This window comes from Homo sapiens, chromosome 11 (genome assembly GCF_000001405.40).
Source record: "Homo sapiens chromosome 11, GRCh38.p14 Primary Assembly".
In the NCBI taxonomy this organism is placed as follows: domain Eukaryota; kingdom Metazoa; phylum Chordata; class Mammalia; order Primates; family Hominidae; genus Homo; species Homo sapiens.
In genome coordinates, this window is record NC_000011.10 from 100,741,698 (window position 1) to 100,754,949 (window position 13,252).

General features: G+C 42.6%; 1 protein-coding gene across 4 annotated transcripts in view, besides 2 other annotated features; it reads left to right on the forward strand.

Annotated features, from left to right (window-relative positions):
- Positions 1-13,252, forward strand: part of ARHGAP42 (Rho GTPase activating protein 42) — a 306,654-nt gene that overhangs the window by 54,410 nt on the left and 238,992 nt on the right. The gene's annotated exons all lie outside the window — the stretch shown is intronic.
- Positions 6,372-7,238: an enhancer, noted in NCBI's record as "OCT4-NANOG-H3K27ac hESC enhancer chr11:100618800-100619666 (GRCh37/hg19 assembly coordinates)". NCBI's record gives its function as "activates a minimal SCP1, AML or CMV promoter by ChIP-STARR-seq in primed H9 embryonic stem cells {active_cell/tissue: H9 hESC(primed)}" and the evidence as "EXISTENCE:reporter gene assay evidence [ECO:0000049][PMID:30033119]".
- Positions 8,299-9,498: an enhancer, noted in NCBI's record as "P300/CBP strongly-dependent group 1 enhancer chr11:100620727-100621926 (GRCh37/hg19 assembly coordinates)". NCBI's record gives its function as "activates an origin of replication core promoter dependent on BRD2, BRD4, P300/CBP, MED14 and CDK7 cofactors, with strong dependence on P300/CBP, by STARR-seq in HCT116 cells {active_cell/tissue: HCT116}" and the evidence as "EXISTENCE:reporter gene assay evidence [ECO:0000049][PMID:35650434]".

A 13,252-nucleotide genomic window follows, 5' to 3' on the forward strand; every position in this document is an offset into this window, starting at 1 on the left:
ATTTCTCTGTGTGGGAGACTTCTGCCCCACAGTGTCCCATTGTGAAAGCAGAAATGAATTTTGGTGAAATCAAATAACTTAGTTTGAGAAGTATTTATTTTAATCTGAAAATTGTTATTTTGCCCTTAACTAATGTTTAAAGCAAGCAGTACTTTGCATTGTACTAGGGACTGCAATGTGCAGTTCTGGCATGCCCAGGTTTAGAGGGAAATCCATAAGGTTGTCTGCTTTAACCTGAGACTCCAAATTTAGTTTTTCGGCTTTTTCAATAAAAAAAACCTAGAGGAAACCTTAGTGATCTCTTTGGGCAATAAAAAGCCAAAGGCAGCTGATCTAAATAGTCTTCTCCCCTTCCGTTTCCCCAAACTAGTTTCTACTCATGTTTCAAAACATCTCCTTCTGCTTTTTGCTCACTGTGGATCAAATACTGCCATCATTCTGATCCTATTGCTGAAAGTAATCTGTTAATTCCTCACCAGGCTAACTCCTGGATGAGAGAGGGGGTCTTATTTTTGTGTGTAATTTATACATACCCTTGTGTTGTAATGTTAACTGATTGTCAAACTGGCATCAGTGTCTTCCTTCATTTCCTTGGAAAGTTTGAAATAGGGAGATGATGCTGGGGTTGAAGTGGTCTTAACGTCTGTCTTATTCAGTGACTAATTGATTTTCCTTGAGGAACACAGTGCAGGAGTAGTGTGTGTGAAGTTCTGAGGTTTCTACTTTTCAAGGTTCAGATATGTGACCTCTGGGTGGTGGTGGTCATATATTTGAAGTGCTTTGAGGTTCCTGTGGAATTACAGTGTTTTATAATTTGAAGTAACAGATCTTATTAATTATAAAGCGTTCTCAGTTAAATTACTGAACTCTTGCTACGTGCCAGGCATTCTGCTGATGACAGCCCTTTTCAAAGGTCCATAGATATCATCTGTATTCTGATCTCCTTAGGTCCAGGAAGTCATCATCTAGTAAGTTGTCATATAAGGTCACATAGTACATTAATGCCAGCAGAACTGGGACTAGTAGTAAATATTTTACGAATCTGGGAGGTCCAGTGTTAGGTGCATATAAATTGGATTGTAATATCTCTGTGTTGTATTGATCCTTTTATCATTATATTATGACTACCTTTGTCTTTTTCTACTGTTGTTCCTTTAAAGTCTGTTTTATTTGATATAAGAATAGCTACTCCTGCTCACTTTCTGTTTTCATTTGTGTGGAATGTCTTTTTCCATCCCTTTACCTTGGATTTATATGAATCCTTACATGTTAGGTGAGTCTCTTGAAGACAGCAGATATTTTTGGTGTGTGATTTATATTCATTCTGCTAATCTATATCTTTTAAGTGGAGCATTTAGGCCATTTATATTCAATATAAATATTGGGACTTGGAGGTGCTTTCCAATTATCATGTTAAGTGTTACTTACTTTGTTTTCTTCATTGTGTTACTGTTTTATAGGCCCTGTGAGTTTTATGCTTTCAAGAGGTTCTATTCTGGTGCATATTGACCTTTTGTTTCAGGATTTAGAACTCCTTTTAGCATTTCTTGTATGGCTGGGCTGGTAATGACAAATTCTCCCCACATTTGTTTGTCTGAAAATTACTTTATTTCTCCTTCATTTATGAAAATTAGTTTTTCAGGATACAAAATTCTTGGTGACAGTTATTCTGTTTAAGGAGGCTAAAGATAGGACCCCAATCTTCTGGTTTTTAAGATTTCTAGTGAGAAGCTTGCTTTTAGTCTGATAGGTTTTTCTTTATAGGTTACCGGGTGCTTTTATCTCACCACTCTCAGAATGCTTTCCTTCACATTGACTTTATATGTAGCCCAATGACTATATGCCTTGGTGAAGTCCTTTTTGTGATGAATCACCCATGAGTTCTATGAGTTTCTTGGATTTGGATGCCTAGATCTCAGACAAGGCTAGGGAAGTTTTCCTCAATTATTCCTTTAAATAAATTTTCCAAACGTTTTGCTTTCTCTTCTCCCTCAGGAACACCAGTTTTTCTTAGGTTTGGCCATTTTTCATAATCTCATATTTCTTGAATGCTTTGTTCATTTCTTTTGATTCTTTTAAATTTTTATTTGAGTGGGTTAATTTGAAAGTCTTCTCTTCGAGCTCTTTCAGGAGAAGATGAAATTCTTTCATCTACTTGTTCTAGTCTGTTGTTAAAACTTCTTATTGCATTTTGTAATTTCCCAAATGTGTCTTTCATTTCCAGAAGTTCTGATTGGTTTTTCTTTCAAGTATCTGAAATAGCTATCTCTTGAGAAAATTATTTATTTGTTGAGTTGGAGTCTCGCTCTGCTGCCCAGGCTGGAGTGCAATGGCATGATCTTGGCTTACTGCAACCTCTTCTTCCCATGTTCAAGTGATTCTCCTGCCTCAGCCTCCCAAGTAGCTGGGACTACAGGCGCCTGCCTCCACGCCCGGCTAATTTTTCTATTTTTAGTAGAGACAGGGTTTCACCATGTTGGCCAGTCTGGTCTCGAACTCCTGACCTCGTGATCCACCCGCCTCAGCCTCCCAAAGTGATGGGATTACAGGCGTGAGCCACCATGCCCAGTGAAAATTCTTTATTTATATCCTGAATTTCTGATTTCTTCATGTTGGTTCTTACCTTTCTCTGATATCTCCTTGAGTAGCTTAGTAATCAACCTTTTGAATTCTTTATCTGGTATTTTAAAGATTTTGTGTTGTTCTGGATCCATTGCTGGAAATCTAGTGTGATCATTATAGAACCCTGTTTTGTCATATTACCAGTTATTTTTCTGGTTCCTTCTCATTTGGGTAGAGTATTACTTCTAATTATTCTTGAATTTGTTTTATATTTTACTCTGTGTGTGTGTGTGTGTGTGTGTGTGCGTGCTTGTGTGTGTGTTTAGTTTCTTTTTTGCTCCTTAAGGATGTTACTTTAATGTTTACAGTTTATTGTAGCCTAATTTGGCTCTTGCTTTTGGTGCTTTCAGCAGTGAAGACTCTGTATGAGTTTCTTGGTTATAGAGAGTCTTTGTATGATGGCTTTCTCAGATACTGGTTGTAGTAGCAATGTGCTCAGTGTGTGAGCAAGTTCACCATTGTTATAAATAAAGTTTCGGTGCCGCAAAAGAAATAGCACTTGAATATAAAATTTTCTTTTTAATTCTCTGCAAGGCAATGTACTTGGGATGCGCCCTTACAGATGGAGCAGTGGTGAGCTCACACCTGGACAAGGGACAGGGGAGTTCTTATTCCTGGCGCACGTGGCCCCCGCTGCTGTGTCGTTCCCCTATTGGCTAAGGTTAGACTGCACAGGCTAAACTAATTACGATTGGCTAATTTAAAGAGAGTGATGGGATGAGTGGTTTGGTGGAATAAATGGTTATGGCAGAGCAAGAAATCGGAATGAGTCAGGGTGGAGAATGAGTCAGGGTGGAGCAGGTAATGGGAATAAGTCAGGGTGGAGAAGGTAATTGAAAAAGGTTGCTTTACGAGGAAGTTAAGTTTAAAAGTAGAAGGCAAAGAATTGAACATACTCACATATTGATTCTTTGAAGAGAAATTTAGAACTCATATCTAACAATCCCTCCTCTTGCATTTCCTTACAGCTCTTTCTCTTCAAACTTCTTTAACATGTCTTGGCTTAGTTGTTCTGCTTGATTTCCCAAAAGAAGAAGCTTCACTGGATAAAGTGGAGGATAGTTAAGGGAGGTTTTAGTAAGTGCCGTTTTTATGAGCCTCTGCAGCAACCCACACGTGCATGGTGTGGCACAGCACCTGACAAGAATAAGTACACCTATTACGGCTGTGAGGGAAGTAAGAATTGAGGCTGTTATTCTTTTCCATTTACTGAACCACTTTTCTAGCCATCCTGTAAAGGGGTCATTTACCCCTGAGTTGTTGGCTAACTCATTGGACAGAGAGCAGTCAGACCTTGAAATGCCTTTGTTATACTTCCATCAGGGGCAGTGTTGTTTGGGATGAAGGTACAACATTGAGTTTTAATTATGACACAAACTCCTTCTTTTTCTGCTAATATCGTGTCTAAGGCTATCCTATTTTTCCCAAGCCATCTGGCTAGTGGCCCCTAATTGCTCAGCTATTCCTTTAATAGCATCTCTAGTGTAGTTAATAGATCGCTTTTGGTTGTAATAGATGTAGTTTATCCAATTTACATTTTATTAATTGTCACCCACCAAAATATTGACTCAAATCCTTCAGCTATTTGATTTCGGGCTTTAAATTGATATGGTATTCCCCATGGGACTCTAATTGTGTCTAAGTAGATGTGGGAATGGAAAGACCCATAAGGGGCTTCTTTTGCTTTATGATGTCTTATTTTTCCTTTCTCTGGTTGATTAAATGCCAGGGTGAAAGGGATAGCCAGTTGGACTAAAGCATAAGTGCCACTTCAGTTACTTGGCACAGTGTCCAGTAAAGGTCCACCATAATACCATTACACATCTGCTCAGGGATGAATAAGGGCTGACTGATTGATAAGCTCTTGCAAATTCTTAAGCTCATTGCATCCCTTCAGGTCTCCAAGGAACGCTAAGTTTCCTTCTTGTCATGGGAGACATGAAGTGAGCTTAGTGTTGGGAAATGGAAGCTGGATGGCCCTCGGGGTCTGACCTGCAGGGTGTGGAACTTTGGGATATAGCAGAGAGAGACATTGGCACGATTTGTTACCCCAGGCTGTAGAATCCTGGAAAAGAGCTACCATGCAGCCCACGCCCAGTTGACTGGAGGACCACCCTAGTGGAAAGGGGACAATCTGGGCCTCCGGCCCACCGTGCACACAAGCATAACAATTGCCTTTGTTTAACGTGTGGACGGAATATTAATCCATTTTAACCAAGCATTTACATCTTTACACCCTGTTTCAATGGCTGTGGTTTGCCTTAGGTCTCCTATTTCTACTACTGAGAACTTGCTGTTGTCATTTGGCATGAGGTGAGTCATAGTTTGATTTCATAGGTTTGGGAAGGGGGCAGCCGTAGGAGGTGGAGGAGGCAGAACAAAGTGCACCTTAAAGAAACCTATAGGATCCTTTCCAGTGACCTCTGCTCCTAAACCATAGAAGCGCTCTAAAGTGGTGTTAGAGTTGCTAGTGGTAGGAATAGTAATGGATATAAGCACTGGGTAAGGAAAGGAAAGGAAAAGAGAGGTAGACTAAGCTTTCCTTAGCTCTAATTTGGTAGGGATCGATCCAGGAAAAATGGCCCATGATTCTGAGGGTAATGGTGCTTGCTTGACTTGGGTGTGATGTGTCCATCCCTTTCCGCCATACTAGTAGCAGTCTCAGTGGTTAGCAGCACAAGGTAGGGTCCTTCCCAGGCTGGCTTGAGTTTCCCTTCTTTCTACCCTTTGATGAGAATGGGATCCCCAGGGCCATGCTGATGTATTGGAAACTCCAAAGGTGGTGCCTGTGCTAAAAGACCTCTTGTTTTAAGGGAGGAGAAGGTGGAGGATAAACTAAGTATATAATTTCTAAGAAATTGATCCTTTGTTTTAAATGTGGGGACATCAAGAGTGGACTTTATAGTCCTTGGTGCCTTCTTGTTGAGAAATTTTCTTTAGCACCTATCTTTATTAGTTTTTAGACCAAAGAAAGCCAAACACCATTTTATATTTAACAGTGCTTCCTGTATGATTTTTATACCAGATAAGCTAAATTTCACCTTTATATTAGTGTGTTAATTTTAATAAAACCTTGTAGACATATTTATCCAATTTTTAATGTCTGACCATAAGGTAAGATTTTTATAGACGCTTTTTAACCTTTTATAATTTTTGTTAAAGAGCGGATTAGTGCTTTAAGAAAATCCTGTTGTGCTTTTATTTTAATGTCCAATTCACAGAAAAACTGGATGATACCCCTTTAACTTTACCCAATGTGTTTACACACAGAATCACCTTTATAATTATGTTTCAAAACTTGCTTAAACCTTTAAAACAAAAATTTTTTTTAACCTTTTAATGTAGGTAAAAATCCACATTCTTTTTCCTCCTTATAATCCCGTTTACCAAAAGTGTATTTTACTTTCCTTACACACCTTGCACATAAACTGTTTCTTCAATAGTTTTACATTCAGGAGGCCTAATTACTTTTAAATTATACAACATTTCTTGCATAAATTCCCTTTTATAACTTTTTTTTCACGACTTTCACAGAGAATTCTTCAGCATACCTCAACTTTCTGACTTGTTGCAAACATCCCTTTCTCTAAACAACCATTTAATTTATTTTAGGACAAGAATTTACCATATAACATTCCTTTTTACATAAATTCTACCCCCCACCCCCCTTTTTTTTTCTCAAAGATGATAACCATTCTTTTCCAAAGCAAACTTCTGTCATGTCTGTGTACTAAACTGTCTAAGGCCACAGGATTAGAAGTTAGGATAATACATGTTACACTGTTAACTTTTAGCAAACTTTACTTTTGTTGAAAACCTTGTAAGTTTGGGATTTCAATTATTCTTTGCTATTAATAAGACCTCGTTCAGTCCATATTAATTTAGGATTGGTACAGATGGCTCCTTCCTGATTCTATAAGTACTTTAAGGCTTAGCTGAGTGCAAACAGCTCGCAGGTTTGAGCAGGCCAATTATTAGGCAATTTTCCTAACAGAGCTTCTACTAGAGTTTCCATATCACTCTCTGAATACCCATTGTGTCTTTTTCCCTCAATCACCCGACTGTCCTGAAGGGAGTTCCTCGTAGGTCTGGTTGGACCTTTGTATGGTAATGAAGATTTAGATCCCCTGTTAGGAAACCTGCTGGGTAAGGGAATTTTCAGTGGTTAATGTTAAATCATCTTTTTCTAACAGAATAGCCTTATACTTTAAGGTTCTTGAGTCAGTAAGCTATCTTTTTGCTTTTTTGTTTTTGTTTTTTTTGACTTAGGATAGTGCTGACCTGATGAGGTGTGCTCACAATGAGGTTTCCTCTAAAATTTATTTTTCTACTTTCTTCTGTTAGCAAAGCAGTTGCTGCTAATAGATTGAATGCATTTGGGCCATCTATGGGTTACTGGGTTAAGGATTTTTGATTAGGAAGGCTACGGGTTGTCAGTGGCCTCAGTGCTTTTGGGCTACGCCCTTGTTTACAGTGACAGCAAGGTGGTATTGGAGTGTTACAGGGTCACGGAGAAGACCTTCAATTATTAATTATAGGTTTTAAATTTACCCTGGCTTTTAAAAGAATAGGGTACACTGTTTTTACTACTGCTCTCTCTCTCTTTCTCTCTCTCTGACTCTGTCTCTTTCTCTCTGACTCCCTCTTTGTCTCTCTGTCTCTTTCTCTCTCTCTGCCTCTCTCTTTCTCCCTCTTTCTCTTTGACTCTCTGTCTCTTTCTCTGCCTCTCCCAGCGGCTTATGCTGCTGTTCTCCCCTCTCCTTCCCCTTCCCTAGGGGAGGGACCGGTGGGAGTGGAGCTACTCTTTCTTCCCCAGAGAAGAAAGGAAAGGGGAGTTCTGAATACTTTTCTTACTACCGAAGGCTTATGTGAGGTTCAACCCCCTGAAATTTGTGGAAGGCTCAACCCCTCAAACCAGGGGTATCTTGCCTTGCCTGTCCTGGAAGGCTCAACCTCTCAAACAAGGGATGTCTTGCCTTGCCTGCCCCAGAAGCCTCAACCCCTCAAACCAGGGATGTCTCGCCTTGCCTGTCCCAGAAGCCTCAACCCCTCAAACCAGGGATGTCTCACCTGGCCTGTCCCGGAAGACTAAACCCTCAAACCAGGGATGTCTCACCTGGCCTGTCCCGGAAGGCTAACCCCTCAAACCAGGCATGTCTCGCCTGGCCTGCCCCGGAAGGCTCAACCCCTCAAACCAGGGATGTCTCGCCTTGCCTGCCCTGGAAGGTTGACCTGTTTCCTCCCTTTCCCCCTCTGAAGGTCCCTTGCACACTTCCCACTCGTGTTGTCCTCTCTGGCTGCTCCCCCAAGGGAGAATTAGGCCCCTTTTAGTGTTTCCGATAGGCGTACCGATATAACTTCCACCGCAGGATCTGCCTTAAGCCATATGAGGTAGCTACAGAACCACAGAGAGGACCCACTCGCTCCGTCCAGCAGTAGGACTTATCACCATCCACTGGAACAACACTGCAAGTAGGGTCGTTTGTGATCATTCACCCCCACACACATTTAGCCCTCTAGAATTTGACCACCAAGGAGGTACTTTACCGGCTCCCGCAGCTTCTCCTTATTTGGTCTGTGCACAGAGTTGTCGCCATAGTATGTGAGGATCCTTTAAGCTAGGTTGCTGGCCAGTTTCTTTCCGCGTTGCTGAGAGCTCAGGTTATTCCTCACACTGGGTCCTGATTTCTCCTTATTTCTCCTGATTTCTCACCCCTGAGGCTGCCACAAGGGGGTGGGATGCCCCTTCTCATGAGAGAAAACCAGAGACTGCCCCCCAGAGGGGAATGTAATCCTGGATGAGCCCCCAAATTGTTATAAATAAAGTTTTGGTGCTGCAACAGAAATAGCACTGGAATATAAAATTTTATTTTTAATTCTCTGCAAGGCAACGTACTTCTATAGAAGGGTGTGCCCTTACAGATGGAGCAATGGTGAGTGCATACCTGGACAAGGGAGGGGAAGGGGTTCTTATTCCTGATGCACGTGGCCCCTGCTGCTGTGTCTTTCCCCTATTGGCTAGGGTTAGACCACACAGGCTAAACTAATTACGATTGGCTAATTTAAAGAGAGTGACGGGGTGAGTGGTTTGGCGGTAAAAATGGTTATGGCAGAGCAGGAAATCGGAATGAGTCAGGTGGAGAATGAGTCAGGGCAGAGCAGATAGTCAGAATGAGTCAGGGTGGAGCACCTGGACAAGGGAGGGGAAGGGGTTCTTATTCCTGATGCACGTGGCCCCTGCTGCTGTGTCCTTCCCCTATTGGCTAGGGTTAGACCGCACAGGCTAAACTAATTACGATTGGCTAATTTAAAGAGAGTGATGGGGTGAGTGGTTTGGCGGGAAAAATGGTTATGGCAGAGCAGGAAATCGGAATGAGTCAGGGTGGAGAATGAGTCAGGGCGGAGCAGGTAGTCGGAATGAGTCAGGGTGGAGCAGGTTATCGAATATGGTTGCTTTATAAGGAAGTTAAGTTTAAAAGTAGAAGGCAAAGTACTGAACATACTGACATATTGATTCTTTGAAGAGAAATTTAGAACTCAAATCTAACAACCACCTCCTACAGGTCTTGAACTGCAGAGGTCTCTTGAAGCTTTCTTCATTCTTCCTTGATGTATACTTTTTTTTTTTTTTTTTTTGAGATGGAGTTTTGCTCTTGTCACCCAGGCTGGAGTGCAATGGCATGATCTTGGCTCACTGCAACTTCTACCTCCCAGTTTCAAGTGATTCTCCTGCCTCAGCCTCCTAAGTAGCTGGGATTACAGGGGCCTGCCACCACGCCTGGCTAATTTTTGTATTTTTAGTAGAGATGGGGTTTTACCATGTTGGCCAGGCTAGTCTTGAACTCCTGACCTCAGGTGATTCTCCTGCCTTCGCCTCCCAAAGAGCTGGGATTATAGGTGTTAGCCATGTGCCTGGCTGATGTATGTGTATGTGTGTTATATATATAGTGTGTGTGTGTGTTTTTTTTTTTTTTTTTTTTGAAAGGGAGCCTTGCTCTGTTTCCAGGCTGGAATGCAGTGGCACAATCTCAGCTCACTGTGCAGCCTCCACCTCCTGGGTTCAAGCGATTCTCCTGCGCCAGCCTTCTGAGTAGCTGAGACTTACAGGCATGCACTACCATACCCAGCTAATTTATACTTTTTTATTTTTTTTTTTCTGCAGTATTTTATTTGCTGGGTTGATTAGTTCAGTCTTCAGACCAGCAGGAGAGGTGTTCCTGGGTAGAAACCTGTTGTAGATAAAGTAGATGGGTAAATGCAATACCCAGTGGTGGATGGAGGTCCCAGCCTTGACAGAGGTAGCAGCTGGGAAAGCCCTCACTGAAACACACTGAGGTCTTAACACAGGCAAGGGGGAGCCACCTCAGCTCTCCTACCAGGCCAGCAGGGAAGTGATCCACCTCACAGACACACTCCTATCCCAGTGTTCTGGTTATTCAGATCAGACAGGCACCTTTTTTTTTTTTTTTTTTTTTTTTTTGACGGAATCTCCCTTTGTCGCCCAGGCTGGAGTGCAATGGTGCGATCTTGGCTCACTGCAACCTCTGCCTCCCAGGTTCAAGCAATTCTCCTGCCTCACCCTCCCGAGTAGCTGGGATTACAGGTGCCTGCCACCATGCCCAGCTAATTTTGGTATTTTTAATAGAGATGGGGTTTCACCAGGTTGGCCAGGCTGGTCTGGAACTCCTGGCCTCAGATGATCCACCCACCTTGGCCTCCCAAAGTGCTGGGATTACAGGCAGGAGCCACTGCACCCAGCCCAACAGGTACCTTTTTTTCATCTGCAGAAATGTTGATGTTCCAACCAGAGAGGAATTGTGACTGTGCCTCTCGTGCAAGCCTGAACCTGGAGGGTGCTCCACCTCTGGGGATGTAGTCAACCTGCAGTGATCCAGAAAGGTTATCTATAGGTGCACCCACACCAAGCTCCAGTGAGAGAAGCCCCAGTTATTTCACAGTCATGGATGAGGGGTAAAAGAAGTTCCCTTTTCCAAGGCCCTTCATGAGCACCAGGGCTGCCTGCCTGTTGGGGTATTGTTGCAGACTATCCTAGCTGAGCCCAGCGCTGCAACTGTGCCACTGCTGAAACTTCTCACCAGTGGTAAGATCTGGGACTCAAGGCTTGCCATCTGGATTCTTTTGTACTACTGGCTGTTCCCTTAATGTGGGGCACTCCCTCTTCCCTAGGGGTAGGAGTCCCTGAGAGCCAGACTACTGTGACTACTGTTGTTCCTCTTGGTCTAGCCACCCAGTGAGTCTGCCGTAATTCAGGCTGGTGCTGGGTAATGTCTGCAAGGAATCCAGTGATGTAACCTGTCCTCAACCCTCTCAGCAGTGGGTACCAGCCAGCACCCATTCTGATGGGGGCGTGACATACACTCTGAGATTTCTTGGTTATAAGTAGTCTTAGTTTGTTGGCTTTCTCAAATTCTGGTTGTAATAGTAATGAACTTGTCCTGTGGACAGACTTAGGACCTTCTGGTTAGCCAGGGTGGTGCAGGCTATAGTGATAGCTCATGCACAAGTTTTCTCCTTCCTGGGTGCAGTGTTATTGTACCTGTGGATGCTGTAATGGTCTGTGTTGGTTGGCTTCCAGCCAGAAGGTGATGCTCGCAAGAGAATGCCAGCTGCCACAATAGTGATGGGATTTGTGCTTGCTTTATGTTACCCAGGGGATGTACTCTGGTTTCCAGATGATGATTGGGGCCGTAGGGCTCCCAGAAGTTCTGTCCCTTGTGTTAAGTTACCAGGGCAGGTTGAGGGGCAAAGCCAGGTGGGAGCTGGGTCAGGCAGGCCCTTGCTCTGGTTCTCTGTGTACAGGGCAAGCAGAGGCCCCTGTGGGGGTGAGGGGACTGGTTCTCTGGCCGCTGGGGTGATGTTCCAGGAAGGAGTGTAGCTTCTGCTGCACAGAAGAGTTCGCTCAGGGAGTGGGGAGTAACAGGCAGCAGGAAGCCTCACCCAGCTCCCATGCACTTGATAAGGCAGGTCTCTCACCTGCAGTGTTCACTAGCAGCAGCTAGCTGAATTCCAGGCCGTCTTTGCTCAATACTGCCCCAGGCCGTCATTCTTTTCCTTGGAGACAGGAACTGGCTTTCAGGCAATGCCACTCCTCATCTGCCCACAAAGCTGGGGTGCCCATCTCCTGTGCCTGTGGCTGGAGCAATTTCAAGGAAAGTGCTTCCCACTCAACCCCTGGTTCTGGCCAAGGGAGTTTGTCCCCACTTGAGATTATATTATGAATTTCATTTGAGAGCTTCTTTCAACCTGCTGCCACTGCCTGAGTTAGTTGGCAGATTTCTGTGAGGTCCCCTGTCAGTTAGAATCAGGAATGGTTTCCCTCCGCCTGTGCTGGAGACTGGAAGTGCGTGCAAGGCTCTTCTTGCTGCTGTTCCTACTTTTACATGCCCCACCGCTTGCTATATCAGTTCCCACACTGGATAGGATTAAGGCCTCCCTCTGTAGGCTGGATTGCCAGCTTTCCCGGTGGTAATGTGTATCCTGGAGGCAGTCTCTTCCTCTCTCACACTCTGGAGACTTACAGTTTTTCCACCTGGCTCTCAGTGTAGGCTGCAGCCTGCAGCTTCTTTCAAAGAGTCTTTGGTTTCTTCCCATTTTCCTGTTAAGTTCCTGCATTGCTCCATGGAAAAAAGTGAACAGTGTGAATTTCAACTCAATATTTTGTCTTTCCAAGTGGCAGAGGCTGCCTCTAATCTGCTATTTTGGCCACATGGCCCCAGAAGATTATTTAAATTGTAAATCTTTAACTTTAATTCCCATTAGTGCTACTTATAACTACATGATAAAATGGGTTTAAATTAAATTTAGACTGGTTAATATGGGAGATGTTAAAAAAAAATCTTTCTCACCGAATTGGTAAGATTCCCCTTAACTATAGTGGTTTTATCTGTATGGATGAATACAGTTTTTACCATTCATTGTAAACATGAACACTGCTAGATTGTGGAGGAACATTAAAGAAATCTTTCTCAATTTGGAATTAAGGCCCTGAGCAATGACCTAGAAATCAGACATACTTGAAATATTTAGTAGGGAAATGAAGATCTTTTATGTCAGGTGCTTACTTTATGATTCTCAGAAACCAACTGGTACTTTAAGGAACCTTGCGTTCAGGCCACTCCTAATTATCTTCTTTCTCCTTGCTGAGTTCTATTCCATACTTGTAGAAAATAAACTTCTGGGAAAACTTAATTTTAGTCTTTGATTACATGATTCAGGTTAGCTTTAAGGAACATTGTTTAATATTGAAATGTATAAGTAGAAAACATTAATTTCTTTATAGATGTATTTTTAAAAAGAATGCTGTTTTTGTTTGTGATGCTTTAGTTCCAGTATAATGCTTTCTACACATTCCTTTAAAATCACTCCTCAAGGGAGAACAGAGGCAACCCATACCCCATTCTAAACTCCTACCCCTCTTGCCCAATAAGAGTAATCACTACGTAGCTTTATTCTGTTAATGACGAGCCAAAATTTCATTAAAGTATATTTTTTACTTTATTCTGTAATTTATTTGTATTTGTTTTCACATGAAAGTAATAATAAAAAAGTGCTGTGCTTATCCAGCTTTATTCCACTATAGGATATACATATCTTAAGAAGACCACTATTG